This window comes from Homo sapiens, chromosome 14 (assembly GCF_000001405.40).
Source record: "Homo sapiens chromosome 14, GRCh38.p14 Primary Assembly".
Classification (NCBI taxonomy): Eukaryota; Metazoa; Chordata; class Mammalia; order Primates; family Hominidae; genus Homo; species Homo sapiens.
The window spans coordinates 103,139,037-103,162,991 of NC_000014.9; the positions used below are offsets into that span (position 1 = coordinate 103,139,037).

The following is a 23,955-nucleotide window of genomic DNA, read 5'->3' on the forward strand; positions in this document are numbered from 1 at the left end:
GTGCCTGCGGGTGAAAGGGCGGCTCAAAGGGACAGTCGCTGGAGGCCCGGTCTTGAGGAGGTGCCTGGAGCAGACCCGGGCTGGGCGCTGCGGGGGAGGGAGGAGGTTGCGGAGGCCGGCGGGCGGGAACGGGGAGGAATTCCAGGTTTCAGGCAAAGAAAGACGGCAGGACTGGGGAAAAGGGATCCTGGACAGGAGACTCCGCAGGAGGAAGGAGGGGGCCGGTAAGTGGGCTCCTTCCAGCTGGGGAGCGGGGCTGGAAGGGGCTGGAGACGCGAGTTTCAACTCATGGGATTTATGGCTTGGAAAGACCCCTCTGCCCTTCGGGGGCGCTGGGGTCCCCAGGGGAGAGATGAGGGCGGCAGCGAGGGCCCCCTCGTGCAGTGAGATGGAGCGAGCTCTCGGTGGGCTGAGGGAAAGAGCAGCCCAGGGGCTTCTAAGAGACCGGGAGGGAACCAGGCTGCTTCCAGGGACAGGGAGGGCCTGGGAGGGGAGAAAGGGCTGAGGAAGCGCTTGGTCAAGTTCAGGGGGAGAGGTCCCTCCGCACTCGCAGTTGTGCCCTGTGTCACCACGATGTTGTTCCCAAAGTATTCTTCTGGTGTTTTTTTTATTTTTATTTTTTCCTTCTTTTCACAGGTGTTGACCCAAAGTATTTTCTCTCATGCCTGGCCACTCTGCCCTGGACCCTCAACCCAGCCGAATATGACACATCTCCAGAAACCCAGCAGGCGCAAGCCGCAGGGTTGGCCTTAAAATCCTGCTTAAACAGGAGACCCTGGAGGCCTGCTTCAGTGCCACCAGCCTAACCGCCAGGGCTCATCAAAGACGCTGCCCAGATGCATTGAACGTAAGCAAGATCAGCAAAGGTTTATCTCAACTTCAGACTCACTCCCAGAAACTCACTCTTGGGAGCTCTCTGTGGAATTGGGCCCCCCTTCTTCTGGTATTATGTTTTCAAAACTGACAGGGATATGAAAGAAAAACTTATCCAGGAAAGAAAATTGGGTTGAACATTTAACATCTCATTTAAGTCTTGCAATAATGGCTATATGTATTTTTGCTAAATAAATCTTCTATTAATCTTTTTTTTTTTTAAAGTTTGAGATGTCTGCAGAATGGGCATGTGGTTCATTAGAGTGACCAATACCCCGGTGAGTGACAACACTTTGTGTGCGAGGCTGCCGGCCGCCAGGCCCTCTCTCTCGCTCACTGCTTTGGGGGCATCATTTTGCACAGCCCCTGTGGAGGGTGATTTGGGCTTCCGGGTCAGGCTGACAAATGCAGGAACCTGTGAGGCAGCCATTCTCCTTCCAGGAATGTACCTTATCCATGCTCTACCAGCTATGCAAAGCAACTTGAGTGCCAGACTAGTCACTTCAGTTACAGTAGCAACATACTGGAAACTCCCTAAATGCCCATCGGCAGACACCAGGGAAATCACTGCAGTGCACCCAAACAATGGAGTACTATGTGGCGGTGAAAAAGAATGAGGAAGTTCTCTCTGTTCTCATGTTGACATTCAGGACACATAACGTTAAGTGGAAAAAAGCACAGTGCAGAGCAGAGTTTGTGGTGTGTGTGTGTGTGTCTGAGAGAGAGAGAGAGAGAGAGAGAGAGAGGTGAACAGGGTTGGATGGGGACAGAAGTTAGGAAGGAGGTATTTGGCCGTATAGCTTGTAAATTTTCATTATGAGGCATGTGAATGTGTTATATTATTAGCATTTTATAACTGAACATTTAACTGAGAAAATGAAAGTGGTGTTGCTGGAGATGGGAGGAGAGAGGAGGAAAATACTTTAGTGTCTCAGGGGTAGGCTCAACCAGCCATGTCCAGCGCCTCTTTGAAGTGGGTTCATCAGCAACCTGTGACTTGGCGTGAAGCCAAGTTCAGCGCTGAGGTGCAGACTGTAATCACAGGGCTGAGTTTAACCAAGACTCTGGTTTTGTCAGGCGATCACTATGGAGGATGATAGCTGAGCCGTGGGAGGGGCTTGCCAGGGAGAAGTCATACCGATGGGCGATACCCATACTGACTGCTGCTATACCCAGCAGTCCCTGGTCGCCCCCAGAACTCCCATCCTCTGACCCTGTGCTGCCTTGCAGCCCCTCAGCCCCCCATGCATGCCCCCCATGCATGCCCCCACCATCCCTGCAGTGAGACCCCGCAGCCTCCTGAGATGCCAGGTAAGCCATGCACAGCCAGGTGCTGTGCCTCAGAACTTGCTGCAAAGCTACTTATGCAAGGCGGGGGAAGCCGTCCTGGGAGGCTGTGCAGGTGAGCAGCCAATAAACAAGTGAAAAGAAACCCCCCTCCCTCCTTGTTTGTCTCTCCAGCGCCCTCTACTGACAGTGCACAGCACCGTGCCAGCAGGAGAGAGGGAAAAGTTCCAGAATCCCCAAGTAGGGCAGTGAAAGATGGGCTTGGGTCAGAGGCAGTAGATGGATAGCAGGCAGTTGCTTTCCATATGCACCCTTTTACACACGTTTAACCTTTTCTAAAAATTCCAGTAAATGCAATACATGTATCCTTCCCACAAGTGAAGATGCACTCACGCTGTCTCCAAAATGAGGAGACAGTGAGGACAAGGTGCCAATGGTTACTGTAGCCACTGTTGGCTCTGTTAATTACACCACAAATTCAACCACAGTCCACTGAATATCTTGTTACCTGAAGACTGAATGGTAACACTAACCTCCAAAAAATTGTGTGTACAATACAGATGCCAGCGAGAGAAAACAGGAAAATGGTTGGCATGTGGAAACAAACACGTGAAAACAAGCAAAGGAAACTAAGCAAAACTACTACACTCCTTGCTTCCGTGACAGTTGGGAGCCGAGGCTTGAAGTCCATGGTTCCTTCTCCCATCACTCATCCTGGATTTTCCCCTCCCTCAGCCGGGACCTCAGCTAGTTGGTGATCTTTACTTGATGAAACAACTAAAACTTTCATTTCAGAAGGTTCTGAGTCCTCAATTTTCCTGCCTTTCTATGGCTGGGGTAGTTTTCCATGAACCTTTTCTATTGGCCATGGAAATAGTCAGAAGTGCCGCAGAGAATGAATGCCCTGATTTCCAGACATAGTAGCAGCTGCCTGGTCTCCCAGGAGAATCAGAACCTATCACTGCAGTCAAGAGAGCAATCATTTTTTAGGTCTTTTGGTGTCATGACAGAATGAGCCCCAGATGGCCAGGTGGCGGCATCATCTTTCAATTTAATGAAACCATTGCTGTGTCTCCTGGTTGAAGGATGTTCCTCTCCGGGACTAAGACCTTCACATTAGCAGAGCTCAAAGTTGCTGCGACAGGAAGCAAAAATCCTGCCAGCTGGTTGTTATTGGGGGTAATAGTAAGTGGATCCCCCTCATATCAACTGGTTGCATGGAGTTCTAATCGGGGAAGAGGAGTCAGGCTGGGGGGAGCAGGGAAAGCAAAACAAACAAACAAAAAACAGATAAGCTATAAGCCTGCCTTTCTACATGGCCCAGGACACACAGAGCCCTCCTAAGCAAATAACTCACAATCTTCCTGTGCCCATCTTATCGCCAGATCCTCAGCCGATAGACAAGTGTCAGTTAGCTCGCTGCAACCTGGGCATTATCAGCACTGCGCGTGGCCCTCTCCAGCACAAGCACCATCCTATAAAATCCCCCACAAGTCTTTGTCTCCTTGTAGTCAGCTCCCCTTTTGCTGATCTGCCCATTGCTTTCTTGCAATGTATTTTCCTGTGTTCTCTAATAAGCCTGCCTGTCTTTACCTACAACTCTCTTGGTAAATTCCTTTATTGCATGCGCCACTGGTCCTAGTTAGTCACTACCTGTGACAGCTTGGTTTCTGGAGCCATGCATTTTGGCTATAAGGGAAGTAGAACCATGTGGTGGCCCCTGATTCAAAGCGTATATGGAATCCTGTAAAATAGAGTCCATCTTTCCTGGGTATTGCCACTCAGTCTTTTGCTGAGGCTAGCTCCTTCTGGGTGATAGAATAAGCAGTAAGATCAGTGAATTCCACGGCCACGAGCCACTGTGGCATTTCCTTGGTGGTGAAATGGGTTCCTTGGTCAGAAGCAGCCCTGCATGGAAGCCATGATGGTGAAAGGCATCACGTGAGGCTACAAGCAGCAGTGCTGCAGAAACACTCTGGGTAAGGGAGGCAAAGTGTGTCCCTTCCAGGAAGGTGAGTCTGTGTCCCCTCCATGATGGAAGAGACCAGGACCCACCTGCTACCAGATGCTGGCTGCTCTCTGTGGGGGAAGGTGCCATCAGGCACTCAGTGCTGCTCTCTGGGGTTGTGAGAGGGGGCTGCCAGCAGTGAGATTAGTCAGACCAGCCTGGAGAGATGAGCCCGTGTTGCTGGGCCCATGCGTAGCCTCCATCTTGGTCACCATAAATACATTGTTTGTGGGTTCATTGAAAAAGCGCTGGTGTGGCTAGGGAATTGTGTCCCCCCAAATTCATCTTAAAATCGTAACTCCCAATGTGGCCCTACTTGGAGCTAGAGTGTTCACAGAGGTAATCAAGTTAGAATGAGGTCATTGGGTGGCTCTAATCCAATACGACTGGTGTCCTAAAAAGGGGAAATTTGGAGACAGACACAGGGAGAATGCAGTGTGAGGATGGAGACAGATCAGGGTGCTGCTCCTGTCAGAGGCATTCGAACCAGAGTGACTCCATCTTGAATAGGGGCTGGGAAAAATGAGGCTGGGGCCTGCTGGGCTACATTCCCAGGAACTTAGGCATTGTTAGTCGCAAGAGTTTACGGTTGAGGGAGCAGATTAATAATGTTTACTAACAGACCTGGAATGTCCTGATGTCCCAATATCTTGAGAACGCAAGCATTCCTAGTTTAAGACGTTTTGTTTTAAAGATAATATCGATTCTTGTGAAAGATGGTAATTACAAAGATTAATCCTCTATCACAAACCCTTGTAGTAAAGCACATCTCCTATGATTTTCGTATCTTAAACAGGCATTGTACTTAGGCTGGGCTTGGTCCTCCTTTTACTTTAAGGAATGCCCTTCTCTGTCTATAGTCATTCTTTTTTTTTTTTTTCTTAAAAAATATATGTATATATTTTGGGGGCTCTATTTTACAGGATAATATATATATGTATGTATCTTTTGTATATATATTTGTGTTACAGGCCGAAAGAATGAGGGTGGTGATCAGTTCAGTATACCACTGGAGGCTCTATGAGTAAACAGCAAACTGTTTCTCATAAATGCGGAATGTTGGCAAACTGACAAACTGTGTCTGCCACCCAGAAGGGATGCTGAGGGCAGTCACTCCCCAAACGCAGTGTTTCTTGAGATTAGGTACATCTGAAGCCTGTTAGTAATAACATGAACCTGTTATCAATTAGCAGCCGACCAGTCATTACCTCCTCCTCCCTGCTCTTGCTACCCAATAAATATGAAGGGCTATGGAAGCTCAGGGGCTGCCTTTGTCCACTAGAAGCAGGGAGCTCTCTTCATCCTTCCCTGGACAGTTCCTTTCAAACAGTTTCTTTTGTCTTCAGTTTTCATTTCTACGTTTGTCTCTTCGTTCAGTCTTGTAATGACGGTCTCAAGTAGTAAAAGTAGTAATTGTTGTGGGGATGATCTCAAGTAGTAACCGTGGCAGTCAGCCACATATTTGTATATATATATTTACAGGATACAAATTATATATATATATATTTTAAGACAGAGTCTCACTCTGTTGCTCAGGCTTGAGTGCAGTGGCACAATCCTGACTCACTGCAACCTTTGCCTCCCAGGTTCAAGCAATTCTTGTGCCTCCGCCTCCCGAGTAGCTGGGATTACAGGCACACACCACCACACCCGGCTAATTTTTGTATTTTTAGTAGAGATGGGGTTTCACCATGTTGACCAGGCTGGTCTTGAACTCCTGACCTCAGGTGATCTGTCTGCCTTGGTTTCCCAAAGTGTTGGGATTACAGGCGTGAGCCACTGGTCCTTGTCAAAAATATATATATATATAATATATATTTTATATTTTATGTTTTATATATATAAATATAAAATATATATATTTTATATTTTATGTTTTATATATATAAATATAAAATATATATTTTATATTTTATGTTTTATATATATATATATAAATATAAAACAGGCGTGAGCCACTGGGCCTGGCCAAAATATATATATATATTTTATAGAGACAGGGTCTTACTATGTTGTCCAGGGTAGTCTCAAACTCCTGGGCTCAAGCAGTCCTCCTGCCTTAGCCTCCCAACATGCTGGGATTACAGGCATGAGCCACCATGCCCATCCAGGAGTAGCTATTCTTTCATTCCTTTACTCTCTTAATAAACCTGCAGCTAGGTGTGGTGGCTCACACCTGTAGTCCCAGCACTTTGGAAGGTCGAGGCGGGCAGATCGCGTGAGTCCAGGAGTTTGAGACCAGCCTGGGCAACATGGTGAAACCCTGTCTCTGTGAAAAATTTAAAAAATTAGCCAAGCATGGTGGTGTGCACCTGTAGTTTCAGCGGAGGTGGGAGGATCACCTGAGCCTGGGAGGTGGAGGTTGCATTGAGCCAAGATCACGCCACTGCACTCCAGCCTGGGTGACAGAGTGAGACCCCATCTCAAAAGATAAAATACATAGAATAAAACAAACTTGCTTTCACTTTGCACTGTGGAATTGCCTCTAATTCTGTCTCGTGTGAGATCTGAGAACGCTCTCTTGGGGTCTGCATTGGGGCCCCTTTCCAGTAACACTTCTACAAGCCAAGAAAGGCCAGAGATTGACAGAAAACTCCCACAGCTGGGAGACGGGCTGGGATGGAGTCTCCCTCACTTCCTCAGAAGGAGGCAATTCTGCTGACACCTTGACCCCAGACTTCTAACTTCCAGAACTGGGAGATGGCACGTTTTTAGGGCCTAAGCACCCGCAGCTTGCGGCACTTTGTTGCAGCATTCCTAGGAAACACACAGGGTCTGGCTGATGACTTCACAGAACTTCCTTCTTTTACCTGATTCAGCCTCTTCTGAAGGGGACACCCTTTGCTGAGCATTTATATGATGCGCAAATGTTCCTGTAGTCTGTGTCCATCTCGAGAGGCTGACCGCATACTTCTTCCTCAGACATCCTTGTTACCAAACTTCCAATCCTTTTCTTCCAGGTCCCCGAACATCCAACCAAACTGTTAGCAGCTGTTTCTAAGTGGGCACGGATTTGTACCTCTGGGCATCTCTCTGTCTGCATGTAGTGGACAGCCGAGTGAATGGCTCAAACTGTGCGCCTAGGGAGGGTTCCTTCGCTACCGGGGCTCGGCCGGTGGAGCTGTAGTACTCATGTCTACTTTTGTGGGAACTGGCATAGCATGCCGAGCCCTCTGTCACCAGGCTCGAGTTTCTTCCTCAGCCAACTGGGTGTGAGGAGTACCCGGGGAGGCTGGAGGCATGGATGGGGAAGGGAGACAGGGCAGCAGGGGTAGGTGCTGAGGGAGTCTGGGCCACCTGCCTTCCCTGTGAAGTTCCCATGCCGTCTGGACCCACCCCAGCTTGCCTCTACTGCGTACATGGACTGAGAGGCCACCGCTGCAGATCCCACGCCTGGTGGCTGGGTGGGTCCAACCATGCCCGGCCCCTAATGGGAACTAGGCTGAATGATCACCTAATGACACAGGGGTGGGCGTTCAGACTCGAATCCCAGTAGAAAGCGAGAAGCAGTTTCTCAGAAGGAAACTAGTTATCTACAGAAGAGAGCACAGAATTGCTCCACAATTCTAGAGGTCCGGACTGCAATTTTCCCATTGGCGCTTGTCATGGATATGTTGAGCAGCAGTGGCTCACAGGGCTGGGCGGCACAGAGGCTTGTACGCATAGAGCAGCCCAGGCCTGCAGAACCTCCTCTTGCTCAGCCTCTTATGGAAACTGGCTGCCTTATGGGGCACTCGGGAGATGGGTCATGGTAACACACTAAAATGTGTTGGGCCAGCCTGGTGGCTGACACCTGTAATCCCAACACTTTGGGAGGCTTAGGCACAAGGATTGGTTGAGGCCAGAAGTTTGAGATCAACCTGGGCAACATAGTGAGACCCCCAAAAGCCCTTCCAAGCATTTGCCTCTTTCTTCATAGTAGGTAGTGGGAGGTGTAGCAACTTGCCTTCACCTTAGAGTGAATATTTCAAAATTCTCCAGCCCAAATAACCCCCAAGAAGCTTAGAAATCACAGGTCTCAAATTTGGGGGGATTTATCCCCCATCTTCTAGCTGACATATGTTTTATTAAAGCTTCTAGAGGATGTGCTATTTCTTATCAGATCCAATCAGCTTTATATCACCAATGCAGGGGGCCAGTGTAGTGGTGTGTGGAATGTTAAATAATAAAGATCAATTTGGCCAGGCGCAGTGGCTCACGCCTGTAATCCCAGCACTTTGGGAGGCCAAGGCGGGCAGATCACTTGAGATCAGGAGTTCGAGAACAGCCTGGCCAACATGGTGAAACCCTGTCTCTACTAAAATACAAAAATTAGCCAGGTATGGTGGCCCACGCCTGTAATCCCAGCTACTTGGGAGGCTGAGACAGGAGAATCGCTTGAACCCAGGAGGCGGAGGCTGTAGTGAGCCAAGATCCCGCCACTGCACTCCAGCCTGGGTGATAGAATGAGACTCCGTCTCTAAATAAATAAATAAAGATCAATTCATAGAGATGGAAAGTAGAATGGGGGTTGCCAAGGGTTGGGGACAATGGGGATTTATTGTATGATGGGTGCAGAGCTCCAGTTTTGCAAGGTGAAAGGAATTCTGAAGATGGATGGTGATGATGGTTGCACGACAATGTGAGTGTGCTGAATGCCACTGAAGTGTAGACCTAAAAATGGTGAAAATCGTGAGTTTTATGTTATGTATGTTTCACCACAATTTAATAAATAAATACAAAGTATAAAGGAAAAAAGGAACTGAAGCATGGATTAAAATAAAGGATTTTCATGTTGTTTGACTACATTTTAGAAAGCAGTGTGTTAGGATCTTGATACTGTAAGAATGGTTAAGATACTAGCAGCATGGGTACTGCCGGGAAAGGTTTTAGAAAGTCAGAATGCCTGCCTCAGCTGGGTGCAGTGGCTCACACCTGTAATCTCAGCACCTTGTTAGACCAAGGCAGGCAGGTTGGTTAAGTCCAGGAGTTCGAGACCAGCCTGGGAAACACAGTGAGATCTCATCTCTACAAAAAATTAGCCAGCATGGTGGTGTGTACCTGTAGTCCCAGCTACTTGGGAGGCTGAAATGGGAGGATCACTTGAGCCTGGGAAGTGGAGGCTGCAGTGAGCTGAGATGGTGCCACTGCACTCCAGCCTGGGTGGCAGAGTGAGACCCTGTCTCAATCAATCAATCAATCAATCAATCAATCAGTAAAAAGAATGCCTTCCTCAGACCTACTAGATCAGAGTCTGCAATTGTACAATCCCCAGGTGACTCATACAAATTAAATATTTATCTGAGCTTTTTTTGAAGTATAAGATACAAACAATAAAGCTTACTTAAATACAAAAATAAAAGATAACAAAGCCCTTTCAGCCGGAACCGCCGTTTTCCAGTAATTCGCCAAAATGACGAACACAAAGGGAAAGAGGAGAGGCACCCGATGTATGTTCTCCAGGCCTTGTGGAAAACATGGAATTTTTCCTTTGGCCACGTACATGCGAATGTATAAGAAAGGTGATACTGTAGACATCAAGGGAATGGGAACTGTTCAAAAAGGAAGCCGCACAAGTGTCACCATGGCAAAGCTGGAAGAGTCTACGATGTTCCCCAGCATGCTGTTGGCATTGCTGTAGACAAACAAGCTAAGGGCAAGATTCCTGCCAAGAGAACTAATGTGCGTATTGAGCACATGAAGCACTCTAAGAGCCGAGACAGCTTCCTGAGACGCGTGAAGGAAAATGATCAGAAAAAGAAAGAGGCCACAGAGAAAGGTACCTGGGCCGGGCACTGTGGCTCACGCCTGTAATCCCAGCACTTTGGGAGGCTGAGGCGGGTGGATCATCTGAGGTCAGGAGTTCGAGACCAGCCTGACCAACATGGTGAAAACTCGTCTCTACTAAAAATACAAAAAATTAGCCAGGCATGATGGCACGCACCTGTAATCCCATCTACTTGGGAGGCTGAGGCAGGAGAATCACTTGAACCTGGGAGGCGGAGGTTGCAGTGAGCTGAGATCACGCCATTGCACTCCAGCCTGGGCAACAAGAGTGAAACTCCATCTCAAAAAAAAAAAAAAAAAAAAAACAAAAAAAAGAGAAAGGTACCTGGGTTCAACTAAGCTCCAGGCTGCTCCACCCAAAGATGCACACTTTGTGAGAACCAACAGGAAGGAGCCCGAGCTGCTGGAACCTATTCCCTGTGAATTCATGGCATAATAGGTGTTAATAAAATAAAAGACCTCTGGACTGTAAAAAAAAAAAGATAACAAAGATACCTGTGGACTATATTATAGCAGAAGCCAGGATTCATGTAGTTAAGACACGAAGGTGTACTGTTGGCCCTGACAGGTAAAAGCAAATTGTTTTTGCAAATTAGTATGGAAAATAAGACATTAGCTAGGCCAATAGCTGCATACCAAGTGCCAGGGGCCAGGTGGATTTGCACCAGTAAAAGTGCTACGTCTGGGACAGCAGCCGCGAGTGCAGTCAACCACCTGATCACGTTTATTACAGGTCACAGTCATTCTCCAAGGTTTGTCCAGCATTTGCATGGGTTGAGCTGGTGGGTTCTACGGCATGGGAATGTAATAGATAGCCACATCTCTGCTTCTTTCAAGCCTTTAGTGGTGGCATTAATCTCTGCAATTGCCCAGAGATGCAGTCAAGGCCAGGATGAGAGGGAAGCTAGTGAGGTACCAGGGCACAAAATGGAAGGATGTCAGGATGATGCCAGAGCTGAGCCTGCACTACATTCTGTGCCCAAGATGCCTTACTATTTTTTTTTCTTTTTTCTTTTTTTTGAGACAGTCTCACTCTGTTTCCCAGGCTGGAGTGCAGTGATGCAATCATAGTTCACTGTAACTGCGGACTCCTGGGCTCAACAATCCTCCCTCCTCAAAGCTCCCTCCCGCCTGTAGCTAGGGCTACAGGCCTGTGCCTCATTGTCCAGCTAATTAAAAAAATTATTGTAGAAATGGGGTCTTGCCATATGGCCCTGGCTGGTCTCAAACTCCTGGCCTCAAACAATCCTCCTGTTTCGGCCTCCCAAAGCACTGGGATTACAGGTATGAGCCACCATGCCAGGCCTATATGTTACTGCTAAGGAGACCCTCACTCCAAGGCTGTGCAAGTGCAGTGCTGAAATTTAACACACGAATTCACCGTTGGTGGGACTGTAACCTAGAACAAACTTTACAGAAGGCATTTGATAGCTTATTTTAAAAAAATTAATTCCGGCTGGGCACGCCTGTAATCCCAGCACTTGGCGAGGCTGAGGCGGGTGGATCACGAGGTCAGGAGTTTGAGACCAGCCTGGCCAACCTGGTGAAACCCATCTCTACTAAAAATACAAAAATTAGCTGGGTGTGGTGGCGAGTGCCTGTAATCCCAGCCATTCGGGAGGCTGAGGCAGGAGAATCGTTTGAACCTGGGAGGCAGAGGTTGCAGTGAGCCGAGATTGCGCCATTGCGCTCTAGCCTGGGTGACAGGTAAGACTCCATCTCAAAAAAAAAAAAAAATTAATTCCAAGGTTTCAAATTGTCACTTCTCACAAATTTGTTTTTTTCTGTGAATTTTAAATTTTTGATTTACGTTTTTGCCAGAGTAGTACATCAACATAGTTTCAAAAATCAAATAACAGCTCTAGAACTTATATTACAATGTCCATCCTGCGCCCCCTGCCACCACCACCCCAGGCAGCCCCTTTCGCCTCTACCCGTGTCTCTGGTCCTTCTTGAGTTTTAGTTTTGAATGTTCTGTATTGAGTTGTTACTATGTAGGTCTTGAACAATTCTTTTAAAACATATTACCAGGTTTTTCATAGTTTTAGGCAATATTGTGAATCAGACCCTTTCCCCCTAAAAATTATCTAACTAGGTCCTCAGTGTAAAATGTAAACCTACTGAGTTTTTCATATTTGTATTATAATCAGTGACCTTTCCAGATTGTGATATTTGTTCTAAGAGGCTTTTGGTTTAGTCTCTGATTTTCTGGGTGAACAATCCTGTCATTTGGGGGATTATACATTCATATATGCACTGTGTCACGTCTGCATAAGACACATGTACCCTGTCTAATGGCACGTATAAGATGCGTATAAACTGCTGGTATGCAATCAATTGTTTGTTAGGGGTGCCAACAAATGACCTACCGAGGCACAACCTGAGAGAGGCAGGCAGGCGAAGATCAAATATAATCGTCATTCCTGAAAAAGCCACTGTGAAGAATGTGGCTGTCATCTGCAGCCCTCGGCTATGTGAGCACCACCAGCGACAGACAGATGATTTAACGCAGATGTGGGCAGCAGTGCTTCCCCCCTTGGAGACATAAGAAGGAGAAACACTGAATAAATGTAACAAGTTAAAGCACAGAGAAATGGGCTTAATACCTTCACCCATCTGCCAGTCAGGTGAGTTCTCCTTCGCCTGGGATAGGGGTTGGAAAGGGAGAGACAGACGAGGCCAGGTCACGGCTCTGGCGGATCCTACACAGGGACAAAGCATGCTGGCACCCCGCTCTGCCCATGGGCTTCGTCTCCACATGGCATCTTGGAGCAATTCCTGTTTTTCTTTCTGTCTCTCTTTTTTTTGTTTTTGAAAGCAGCTGACAGTACTCCATTGTTTGGGTGCACTGCAATCCTTTCCCTGGTGTCTGCTCCTGGGCATTTAGGGAGTTTCCAGTATTTTGCTACTACAATTGAAATGACTTAGCCCGGGACTGAAGTCAGTTTATGGGTTTTTTCTGTGTGTGAGTTTTGTGTTTTTGTTTGTTTGTTTGTTTTGTTTTTTGTTTGTTTGTTTTGAGTTGGAGTCTCGCTCTGTAGCCTAGGCTGGAGTGCAATGGTGCAATCTCAGCTCACTGCAACCTCCGCCCTCTGGGTTCAAGTGATTCTCCTGCCTCAGCCTCTTGAGTAGCTCGGACTACAGGCACCTGCCACCATGCCCGGCTAATTTTTGTATTTTTAGTAGAGACCGGGTTTCACCATGTTGGCCAGGCTGGTCTCGAACGAACTCCTGGCCTTAAGTGATCCGCCTGCCTTGGCCTCCCAAAGTGCTGGGATTACAGGAGTGAGCCACTGCACCCGGCCACTTTGCATAGCTGTTAGAGAATGAATAAGATACATTCTTGGAAGGGGAATGGCTGGCTGACAGGTTCCTGCATTTGTCAGCCTGATCCATGAGCCCAAATCACCCTCCACAGGGGCTGTGCAAAATGATGCCCCCAAAGCCGTGAGTGAGATGGCCTGGCGGCCGCCATTATAAATATTAACTATTCAACTAAGATCAGATGGTAGCTGGAGGTGGGGGAGCAGGGAAGGATGAGAGGGATGGGTCACCCAGGCGCATGGTGAATCCTTTGGTGGTGGTGGATATGCTCATTATGCTGATTGTTGTGATACTTTCGCAAGTATATACACATGTGCAAATTAATTAAACACATACTTTACATATGTGCAGTTTATTGCATGTCAGTTATATCTCAATAAAGTTGTTTAAAAATCATAAAACATTAGTTTTTTGGTCCCATCAGATTGTCAAAAAAATAAACAAACAGGGTGGCCGGGCACGGTGGCTCACGCCTGTAATCCCAGCACTTTGGGAGGCCAAGGTGGGCGGATCACGAGATCAGGAGATCGAGACCATCCTGCCTAACACGGTGAAACCCCGTCTCTACTAAAAGTACAAAAAATTAGCCGGGCGTGGTGGCGGGTGCTTGTAGTCCCAGCTACTCGGGAGGCTGAGTCAGGAAAATGGCGTGAACCCGGGAGGCGGAGCTTGCAGTGAGCGGAGTTCGTGCCGCTGCACTCCAGCTTGGGCGACAGAGCGAAACTCCATCTCAAAAAACAACAACAACAAAAAACCAAGCAAGGTAATTGCCTCTAGTCCTGGCAACTTGTAAGGAAGCCAGCTCCCTATCTGTGAAAGAATGAATTGGCATATGGAATTAACTTTTGAACTATTCATTTGAAAAGTGTTTCTGTTCTTTGCGGAAGAAAAATTATATTGCTCGTCCTTCAGCTGTTATAACTAAGATCCTATTAATGCATTTCATTTTTGACTGGGTAAAACCGAATTCCATGGGTTTGCTTTTTGCTTCTCAGGTAACTAATGAATTTTCAGATCCTCTCCTTAAAAATGAAAATGTGCATTAACAAAAAAAAATCTAAGAGAGGGTTAAAGATTTCTCCTTTCCCCTGAAACCGTGGAGGAGAGATATTCCAAATGATAAAGGTTGATCACAGAATTTGATTGGATAAGGTGTGGAATTAAGACCATTTACAAGAGTATAAATCTTGTTTTCCTATAGGAAATTAGAACTTGTGTGAAACTTTGTAACTGTTATCAGCTTTCCAATCTCTTGATTACCATGAACTGTTATTGAAACAGAAGAGCCTTGCAGTGTTTCTAAGGCTTTAGAGTCTGAGGCCATGGTTTTTGAAAATAACTTCAAATAAAAACCTGGAATTCTGGCTGGGGGCGGTGGCTCTCACCTGTAATCACAGCACTTTGGGAGGCCAAGGCGGGTGGATCACCTGAGGTCAGGAGTTTGAGAAACCCTGAACTCCTTTAGTAGAGAAACCCCGTCTCTACTAAAAATACAAAATTAGCCGGGTGTGGTGGCAGACGCCTGTAATCCCAGCTACTCGGGAGGCTGAGACAGGAGAATCGCTTGAACCCGGAAGGCAGAGGCTGCAGTGAGCCAAGATCACACCATGGCACTCCAGCCTGGGCAAGACAGAACAAGATTTTGTCTCAAAACAAACAAACAAACAAACAAATCCTGGGATTCTGCTTGATTGTCTTGATAACCTGCTGCCTTAGTAGCCCTGTTATAATCACATTTCTGGATTCTTAAGCCATACAGGTCCCTGGGAGAGTCCTCAGAAAAACGAGATGGTTTGCATCCCTGCTGAAATGTTTTTACCTTAGTAAAGAGATTTCTTATCCTAGGCTGGGTGCGGTGGCTCACGCCTGTAATCCCAGCACTTTGGGAGGCCGAGGTGGGTGGATCACCTGACGCCGGGAGTTCGAGACCAGCCTGACCAACATGGAGAAACCCCGTCTCTACTAAAAATACAAAATTAGCCAGGCATGGTGGCGCACGCCTGTAATCCCAGCTACTCGGGAGGCTGAGGCAGGAGAATAGCTTGAACCCAGGAGGTTGTGGTGACCCAAGATCATGCCATTGCACCCCAGTCTAGGCAATAAGAGCAAAACACCTTCTCAAAAAAAAAAAAAAAAAAAAAGAGAGAGATTTTGTATCTTAATAAAGAGATATTGAACAGTATCTTTGAGGTAATAATTCTACTTGTAGGGAATGTATGTTATCAGAAATAATAGGACAAACCTTTGTCATTATTCATACAAGGATTCTCGTTGTAGGGAAAACTAGAAACTCCCAAACTATCCAGCAAGAAGGAAAGAGGAAAACAGTTATACTACACAATGCAGTGTGGCCATTCACACAAGGAGGCAGATCTGTTTCCACTGATCTGGAAAAGCATCCGTGACATGACATTAGTGAAAAATGCAAATTTGTAGAACAGTATCTGTGCAGAATGGCTGTGCTAATATAGATGCGTTGGCACCAAAATGTTCAAGGGGAAGGGGAAGGTGGCAGGATCCAATCTGTACTTCACGTAATCCTTTAAAATGTGTGGGATGGTGGGTGAGTCTTCTCTGTATAGATTTTTGCAAACAAGATGGTATTTTGCATAAATATAGTGGGGAAAGGCATTTAAGACATATTCATGCCTGTAGTGCTTGAGTAATTTAAAATTTCTTATTTTGATATTTAATTTGAACATTTTCTATAAGAAGTGCTTTTAAAACTAGAAAAAAATTTTTTAAAGTCTATATAATAAATTCCTACGGCTTTACTTAAATAAGGGTGCCTAGGATTTTTCTTGAGTATGAACCTGTCACATGGCTGGTTGTGTGCTGAGGCCAGAGGGTGGGACCTTCCCTGAGGGCCGGGCTGGGACATCTCCCCACGAGGTTGGTCAGTCCTTCTGCCAGCTCATCCATGAAGAGTTCAACCCAGGTCAGGGCCGGGCCCTGGCAGCCTGGAGGCTGAGCCTGGCAGGCCCTTCCCTTTTCAAAGGCCAGCACTGTCAGGCACTTTGGTCCAGACTCCAGGCCTGCAGAGGCACAGAGCGCACCAAGGGGGGCAGTGGGAGGGGCCAGTGTGCGACCCCCAGGACAGGCTGGGACCCCAGGACAGGCTCGGACCCCAGGACAGGCTGGGACCCCAGGACAGCCTCAGACCCCAGGACAGGCTCGGACCCCAGGACAGGCCGGGACCCCAGGACAAGCTCGGACCCCAGGACAGGCCGGGACCCCAGGACAGGCTCGGACCCCAGGACAGGCCGGGACCCCAGGACAGGCTGGGACCCCAGGACAGGCTCGGACCCCAGGACAGGCTGGGACCCCAGGACAGGCTCGGACCCCAGGACAGGCTGGGACCCCAGGACAGGCTCGGACCTCAGGACAGGCTGGGACCCCAGGACAGGCTCGGACCCCAAGACAGGCTCGGACCCCAAGACAGGCTGGGCTCAGGCTTCACTTGTCCTGTGTCCTCTGGGTTGCTCTGTTGTTCCACCATCCCTGATCCCACAGTAAAATCCTGTCACCCTCACTGCCTGGTTTCTGCCCCTGTTGGGGGTGAATGAGCAGCTTGTCCTGGGTTTGGGGCAGAGAGGCCTGAAGGAGGAGCCTGGGCTGGGGGCAGCCATGCTCATTTGGGGACAGGGCAGGCTTGGTCAGCAGAGGGGCTCCCCCCCCGGAAGGCAGCTGATTCTCAGGGTTGGGCAGAGTCTGGAACTTCAAGGGCAGGACCCATGTCCTAGGACCAACTCTGTCCACCCTCCCACATCCTCCCGTTGCCATGACCTTGGCCCCATCTCCGTCAAATAGCCTGGCCCTCATACGTGCAGGAGCCCTGGGGTCCTTCCCGAGCCCAAACATTTTTGCAGTGAAGGGCCCTGCCTAGCTTCACCCCATGCAGGCCTGGGCAGGGGCAACTCTGTCAGGTGCCCTCGGCCCCCAGGTCTTTCCCCTGAAAGCAGCGAGCATCTCAGTCGCTCCCACTGCATGGGTGGGTGGAGTTCAGAAGAGTGGGAGAGGAAGGGGAATGCTTACTTTTTCCAAAGCGATCCAAGGATTGTTCTGGAATTGTTTGGCAAGGGCTGTGTGGCCATGTGTTTTTCTAGATTCACTTAAAGAAAAAACAGTGTTGGGGTCCCCAAGGAAATAGGGCATCCAGGCTGCAAGGACAAAAGCCAGGTGGGCTGAGGGGCCGGCGGGGCCAAATCTGTCACGAGGAAGGGGAAACTGAGGCCTGGCCTTGCGGGCCCAGGACCTACCCTGCCCCTTTGCACTGAAGGGAGGGAAGGTCTGAGTCCCCGGGAAGCAGAACTGGGGCCAGCTGGGCAGGGGACAGAAGCTGGGTCACCCCTGGGATACCCAAGCAGAGTGACACAGCCCCTGGGACGGACTTGGCTGGGTCTCTCGTCGGCTCTTTTCTCTCCTGTAAGACGAGAACATGGAAAATCCTTCCCCAGGAGCGGGACGGCCCAGCACACTCCCCCATAGCTGGTGGCAACGCCCTGGAAGTCCCGGCTGTCACGGCTCTGCCTGCCCCTTTCAGATGCTGTCTCAATGACATGTGTCCAGGTCGAGCCTGTTCACCAAGCTTCAGCCCTCCCATCCCTCACCCTGGGGACCAAGAGACAGCTCCAGACTAGCCCAGTCTCTCCCGAGTGCTCAGGTGCTTCCCAGCTTCCTCCAAAGGCCAGCAGTCCCAGCGAAGTCCTGGGAAAGGCAGGACAGCCTCAGGCAGCTCCAGCGAAGGCTGTGACCACTACAGGGAGCACCTCTGCCAGGTGGTGGCCCCAAGGACTGCCCAGGACTGTGGGACACTCAGCTTCCCAGGGGGAGAGGCCCCGGCCCACTGTGGGCAGCACAAACTGGCTGTAGAGGAAGCTCTGGGGGCTATGGGAGCCCCTACCCCAGGGCACGCGGGGACTCAGCCAGGTCCAGGCCTTGCGGGAGGCTCTCTGGGGAGTTGCAGAGGCGCAGTTTCCCTTCCGCGGAGCTGCTTTCTCACCCTAGTGGTGGGACAAGCCCTCTCCCGGGTCCATCCCTTCCCTGCCCCTTCACCCAGGTCCTGAGTACTTCTTCTGAGCCACGGGTGGGTGATTTATGACCCACTTCTCACTACAGAGGAGGCGGGGCAGCTCGCTAACACCAAGCAATGCAAAAAGTCAGTGCGAGGGAAACACAGACTCCAACGTTTTTCACCAAAGTGCTGGTTGAAACACTTTTGAAATCTGGGAAGTCTTGTAATCATGTCAACATATAACCTTCTTTTTAAAAAGCACGAGTTTAGTGGCATGGGCCTGTGGTCCCAGCTACTCAGGAGGCCGAGGTGGGAGGATCGCTTGAGCCTTGGAGCTTGAGGCTGCAGTGAGCCACAGTCGCAGCACTGCTCTCCAGCCTGGGTGACAGAGCGAGACCCTGTCTCTGAAAAAAATTTAAAAACTTGGAGCTTCCGTCGGACGATCCCCTCAGATCAAGGCACCGAGTTACTTTTTCCAAGTTACTTGGAAAGATTGGCCCTTTGGGTCTTGCATGAGAACTCCATTAGATGAGACCCAAGCAGCATCAAGCCTAGGGTTAACTTTCCCTACTCCTGAGCTGAGACCCCTCTGAGGACCCTTACCAATGCCAGGTGAAGCACGAGTTCTTCCACTCTGGCTGATGGGAACAGGCAACTATTCCCAGCCTTGGGTGAGCACCAGACACTGCGACTTCTAATCCTTTGCGGTGGTTCTTTCCCCAGGCTCAGGCAGGTTCCCCTTACGCACGTACTGATCGGTTCTCGGCTGAACACTCGTGGGAACCTTCTGCAGACCTCCGGCTCCCTCTGTGCAGCGCTCTGTCCTCCTGCTCCGCCCTGTGGATCCTGCCACCTAGGCTTGCCTGGACTCCCAGCTGGCTGTGCTCCGCTCAGGAGGAGGCTGGTCCCGTCTCCTTACCCCATGGCCTGGAGACTCTCCACGCGGCTAGCCGGGCATCTCAGGGCTCACCCCACTTGATTCCCGTTTTCCTTCATTGCCTGACGCTCAGTGTCACGAAAGCTCGTCTTGTAGATTTTTCTCTTTCTCAGGGTTGTTTTTTTTTTTTTAGAGAGAGAGTCTCGTGCTGTCACCCAGGCTCTTGACAGAGTCTTGACAGAGTCTTGTTCTTTTACCCAATGAAGTGCAGTGGTGCAATCTCGGTTCACTGCAACCTCCACCTGCCGGGTTCAAGCAATTCTTGTGCCTCAGCCTCCCGTGTAGCTGGGACTACAGGAGCACACCACCGTGCTCTGCTAATGTAGAGATGGGGTTTTGCCGTGTTGGCCAGGCTGGTCTTGAACTCCTGGCCTCAAGTGATGTGCCAACTTGGCCCCTCAAAGTGCTAGGATTAGAGATGTGAGCCACGCCCAGCCTCAGGTTTTTCAGTTGTTTCAGAGCAGAGGGTAAACCTGGTCCTTGTCCCATTTTGACCAGAATCAGAAGTCCTCTTTGTAAACCAAAAATACAATTCTGAGGCTCCCCATCCATCAGAATGGACCCCACCTCTCAGCCAGGGCACTCCAAAGCTAACCTGAAAAACTGGTTCAGACCATGCCAGGAAGCAGGGTGGGACATGCCTCACGATGCCCTCCTCCCTTTGTGAGTTCTGGAAAAGCCAACCAGTGTTTAAGATCAACACAGACCTTAAGCCTGATAAGAAGTATTTACAAGCTATTCTCTCTGAAGCCTGCTACCTGGAGGCTTCATCTGCAGGATAAAAGCTTTGTCTCCACAACCCCTTATCATAACCCAGACATTCCTTTCTATTGATAATAACTCGTTTTTTTTTTTTGAGATGGAGTCTCACTGTCACCCAGGCTGGAGTGCAGTGGCTCAATCTCAGCTCACTGCAGCCTCCGCCTCTCGGATTCAAGTGATTCTCCCGCCTCAGCCTCCCAGGTAGCTGGGATTACAGGCGCCCACCACCACACCCAGCTAATTTTTGTATTTTTAGTAGAGACAGGGTTTTGCCATGTTGGCCAGCCTGGTCTTGAATTCCTGACCTCACGTGATCTGCCTGCCTCAGCCTCCCAAAGTGCTAGGATTACAGGCATGAGCCACCACACCTGGCCGATAATAACTCTTTCAACCAATTGCCATCAGAAAAATTTTAAATTAAGTCTACCTATAACTTGGAAGTCCCCCACTTGAAGTCGTCCCGCCTTTCTAGGCTGAACCAACGTATTTCTTACATGAATCTGATTGATGTCTCAGGTCTCCTGAAATGTATAAAACGGAGGCTACGCCCTGGTCCCCTTGGGCACAAGGGCTGGGTCATGGGCCATGGTCACTTATATTTGGTTCAGAATAAATCTCTTCGAATCTTTCACCGAGTTTGACTCTTTTCGTTGACATCTTATGTGGTTTAAAACTGTGAGAGACTGTCTTAAAATCTGAATTGAGTCTGTTTAACTGAACTGTCAGAGATTACCAGTGACTTCTGTTGCAACAGGAAGATAAGACAGTGAACCGTTTTGTTTTTAACTATTTCTTTCTTTCTTTTTTTTCTTTTTTAGACAGAGTCTTGCTCTGTCGCCCAGGCTGGAGTGCAGTGGCACGATCTCAGCTCCCTGCAACCTCCACCTCCCGGGTTTAAGAGATTCTCCTGCGTCAGCCTCCCGAGTAGCTGGGATTACAGGCACCCACCACCAAGCTTGGCTAATTTTTGAATTTTTAGTAGAGACAGGGTTTTTTCATGCTGGCTGGGCTGGTCTTGAATTCAAGACCTCAAGTGATCTACCCGCCTTGGCCTCCCAAAGGGCTGGGATTACAGGTGTGAGCCACTGCGCCCGGCCTGTTTTTAACTATTTCTAAGTTTTCACAGGTCTGCGAAGAACAGGCATTTAAGGAGAGAAATGCAAGAGTTCTCTGCCGCTGAATTCCCCCACCTGGCACATGATATGAGGTGTGTGCATGTCGGGACAGTTACAAAGCCTCACTCAACACGAAGTCAGGATCTCTTCCTTCTCCTTGGCTGCCAGGAGTCTGGGAGAGCCGAAATGACAATTTAGAGCAAGAGTCCATCCACTTTTGCGTTCCCTCCTGGCCACTGAAAATCCGCCGTGTTCTCCCCACAGGAGCAGGGGATCCCAGTGCTGGGTTGTGCTGCAGAAACCCCCAAGGGGTCTCCTCCAGGGCCCAGATGCTGGCGCAGCCCTAGCCCCAGCCCCAGCAAATCAGAATAATGGGGATGTTGAATAAAGACCCGAGTTTTCAACACCCCGTCCCTGCCTGCAGTGATTCCGATGATCAATCAGGCGCGAAGCCCAGAGACCCAGGAGGACGAGTCACTGACTGGGCCATGAGACAGGACCCCACAGCCTGCATCCCCACAGCCTGCACCCCGACAGCCTGCACCTCAACAGCCTCCTGCCTGCACCCCTACAACCTTCTGCCTGCACTCCCGACAGCCTCCTGCCTGCACCCCCCACAGCCTGCACCCCAACAGCCTCCTGCCTGCACCCCCCCACAGCTTCCTGCCTGCACCCCCCCACAGCTTCCTGCCTGCACCCCCCCACAGCCTCCTGCCTGCACCCCCCCACAGCTTCCTGCCTGCACCCCCCCACAGCCTCCTGCCTGCACCCCCCACAGCCTGCACCTCAATAGCCTCCTGCCTGCACCCTGACAGCCTCCTGCCTGCATTCCTGCTCACTTCTCCAGTTCCAGTGGAGGCAAAGACTCTGACCCGTGAGTTCTCCAGCACTGAAACCTGTGCTCCCAGCTCCCTGGGGAGGAGGCTGTCCCTGCAATGACCCCATCCTAGCTGGGCTGTGTCATTCTTACAGAGGGTAATGGCTCTACCTGCATTCCTGAGGTTTCTCAGGCTCAGGACCTGTGGAAAGTGAGCCATAGAATCTGCTGGCATTGCAGAGAGGAAAGCCAGACAGCCAGGGTCACAGCCACTGTGACGTCCACCCTCGGAGTCCTCTGTCTGCCACTCTGAACACAGGGTAGAAGCAGTTATTGCAAAACAAATGCCACTGTCCTGTCCAAAAGTGAGATGGGTTTGGTTCCCTACAAAACCTCCCGCAGTGCATGCTAGGAAATTTTGGAGGAAATACCAAACGTCCTTTCATTCATGGCTGAGAGCCTAATCAAGGGAAAACTCTATTGGCCAAAAATGAAAAGGAGCTGCAAAGCAGGCACTAAGCTGACACAGATGCTACAGTGGCCCTGGGGAGATTTGCTAGGCCAGGTAACCAAGACACTTCCATTTCAACGGCCATATTAGGATGGGGAACCAGGCCTTGTTCTGTGAAAGGTTAGCACTGACACCCCTGAATGAAGCCCGTAATTGTGAAGGGCTCTACTCACAGTGGAACTGGTGGATTAAGAGGGAAAAATTCCTTTTTCTTTCAAAAAGTGTCAAGGATGAAGCTTGTCTTGGTTTGATCTCTGGAAAGAGAAAAGTCTCTGTAACTTGGAAGCCAAGGCCAGTCTTCATGTCAGCATGCAGCTCAAACTCACCCCATGTGCAGTTTTAGGAACTGCAAGCTAAGACTCTGACAGGGAGGTGTGGGTAGCCGAGATGACCCTGTTTCTAGCTTCTGCACATGATGCTTTACATCTGGGGTCTTGATTAGCCCGTTCCTAGAGAGTAAAGGACCAGCCTACACGCACGCCACCATACGGCAGCCACCAAACCAGAGCTCCTACCCAGCCACCTCCTCTACTGGCTCTAACACTCTGGGCCCGTCTCCACCTGTCCTGAGCACCCTAGAACCAGGTACCAGACATCTAGGGGCAGTCCCTATGTGCCAGAGCCCGTGAAATTATTTTATTCATGCGTGGCAGTCTTAAACCATTCATCCTGCCTCACGTGTTCCTTCCTGCAGAAACCCTGATAAAGGCTCTTGCCCATGTTTTTCTGCCCTCTCTGCCTCCTGACAGATCCTGGTACTTCCCTGTGTGGCCCCTCTGTGGCATGGCCCCTGCTCTTGGTACCTGTGAGTATAACAAACTATCTTTTCAATAGTATTGATGTAGGATATTTTGCTCCTTAGTTCAGCTAAATCCAGGTTCTTGTCTCACGACCAGGAAAAATTAGGCACATGGACATATTGAAGGGTGAAGAGAGTGGAATTTATTAAGCAAAAGGGGAACTTTCAGCAGAGAGAGGGGTCCCACCAGCCAGCTCCTACCTCACAGATTGAATACCAGGCCACCATGCACAAGCTGAAGAGGCCAGTCTCCTTCCCAGCATAGGGCATGGATTCCTGAAGGCTCCATCCCTTTCTTCCAGTGCGCATGTGAGCCGTTAGTCTGAGCCACACCACATTGATTTATTTCCCTTACTGCGCATGTGTGAAGGGATGGAATTTTTCACTGAGGGCATGTTTAGGTGAGCCCCCTGTGCACAGTGACCTGGACGGGTCGGAGGGTCTCTGAGGACCTTTCCTTATCGGCCTAGGCATTTGGCTGTCTACTGCTTCTATCAGTATAACAAGCTATCTTTTCAATTTGTTTGTTTTCTAAAACAAACAACCAAAAATCTCCTACATTTTAAAGCAGTAAGAAGTTCCCCAGGAGCTTCACACAAAGGGTGAAGTCTATGGAGCAATGTATCTTCAGTGTAGACAGGCTGCCAGGATGCCCTTGGGCACAGCTCCAGTGAAGGGGAACCCATGAGCCATGTTATAGATCGGAGAGGGCACAGACACCTGAGTGACTGCCTTTAGACAA

General features: G+C 49.4%; 2 pseudogenes, besides 5 other annotated features; both read left to right on the forward strand.

Annotated features, from left to right (window-relative positions):
- On the forward strand, positions 639–2,923 carry NDUFB4P11 (NADH:ubiquinone oxidoreductase subunit B4 pseudogene 11; annotated as a pseudogene).
- Positions 1,281–1,330: an enhancer, noted in NCBI's record as "active region_9097". NCBI's record gives its function as "activates an Ori minimal core promoter by ATAC-STARR-seq in GM12878 lymphoblastoid cells {active_cell/tissue: GM12878}" and the evidence as "EXISTENCE:reporter gene assay evidence [ECO:0000049][PMID:35858748]".
- Positions 1,361–1,410: an enhancer, noted in NCBI's record as "active region_9098". NCBI's record gives its function as "activates an Ori minimal core promoter by ATAC-STARR-seq in GM12878 lymphoblastoid cells {active_cell/tissue: GM12878}" and the evidence as "EXISTENCE:reporter gene assay evidence [ECO:0000049][PMID:35858748]".
- Positions 9,521–10,402, forward strand: RPL21P12 (ribosomal protein L21 pseudogene 12; annotated as a pseudogene).
- Positions 16,036–16,330: an enhancer, noted in NCBI's record as "tiled region #1324; HepG2 Activating DNase unmatched - State 10:DNaseD". NCBI's record gives its function as "activates a minimal TATA promoter and a strong SV40 promoter by Sharpr-MPRA in HepG2 cells {active_cell/tissue: HepG2}" and the evidence as "EXISTENCE:reporter gene assay evidence [ECO:0000049][PMID:27701403]".
- Positions 17,055–17,793: an enhancer, noted in NCBI's record as "H3K4me1 hESC enhancer chr14:103622428-103623166 (GRCh37/hg19 assembly coordinates)". NCBI's record gives its function as "activates a minimal SCP1, AML or CMV promoter by ChIP-STARR-seq in naive and primed H9 embryonic stem cells {active_cell/tissue: H9 hESC(naive and primed)}" and the evidence as "EXISTENCE:reporter gene assay evidence [ECO:0000049][PMID:30033119]".
- Positions 17,794–18,531: an enhancer, noted in NCBI's record as "H3K4me1 hESC enhancer chr14:103623167-103623904 (GRCh37/hg19 assembly coordinates)". NCBI's record gives its function as "activates a minimal SCP1, AML or CMV promoter by ChIP-STARR-seq in naive H9 embryonic stem cells {active_cell/tissue: H9 hESC(naive)}" and the evidence as "EXISTENCE:reporter gene assay evidence [ECO:0000049][PMID:30033119]".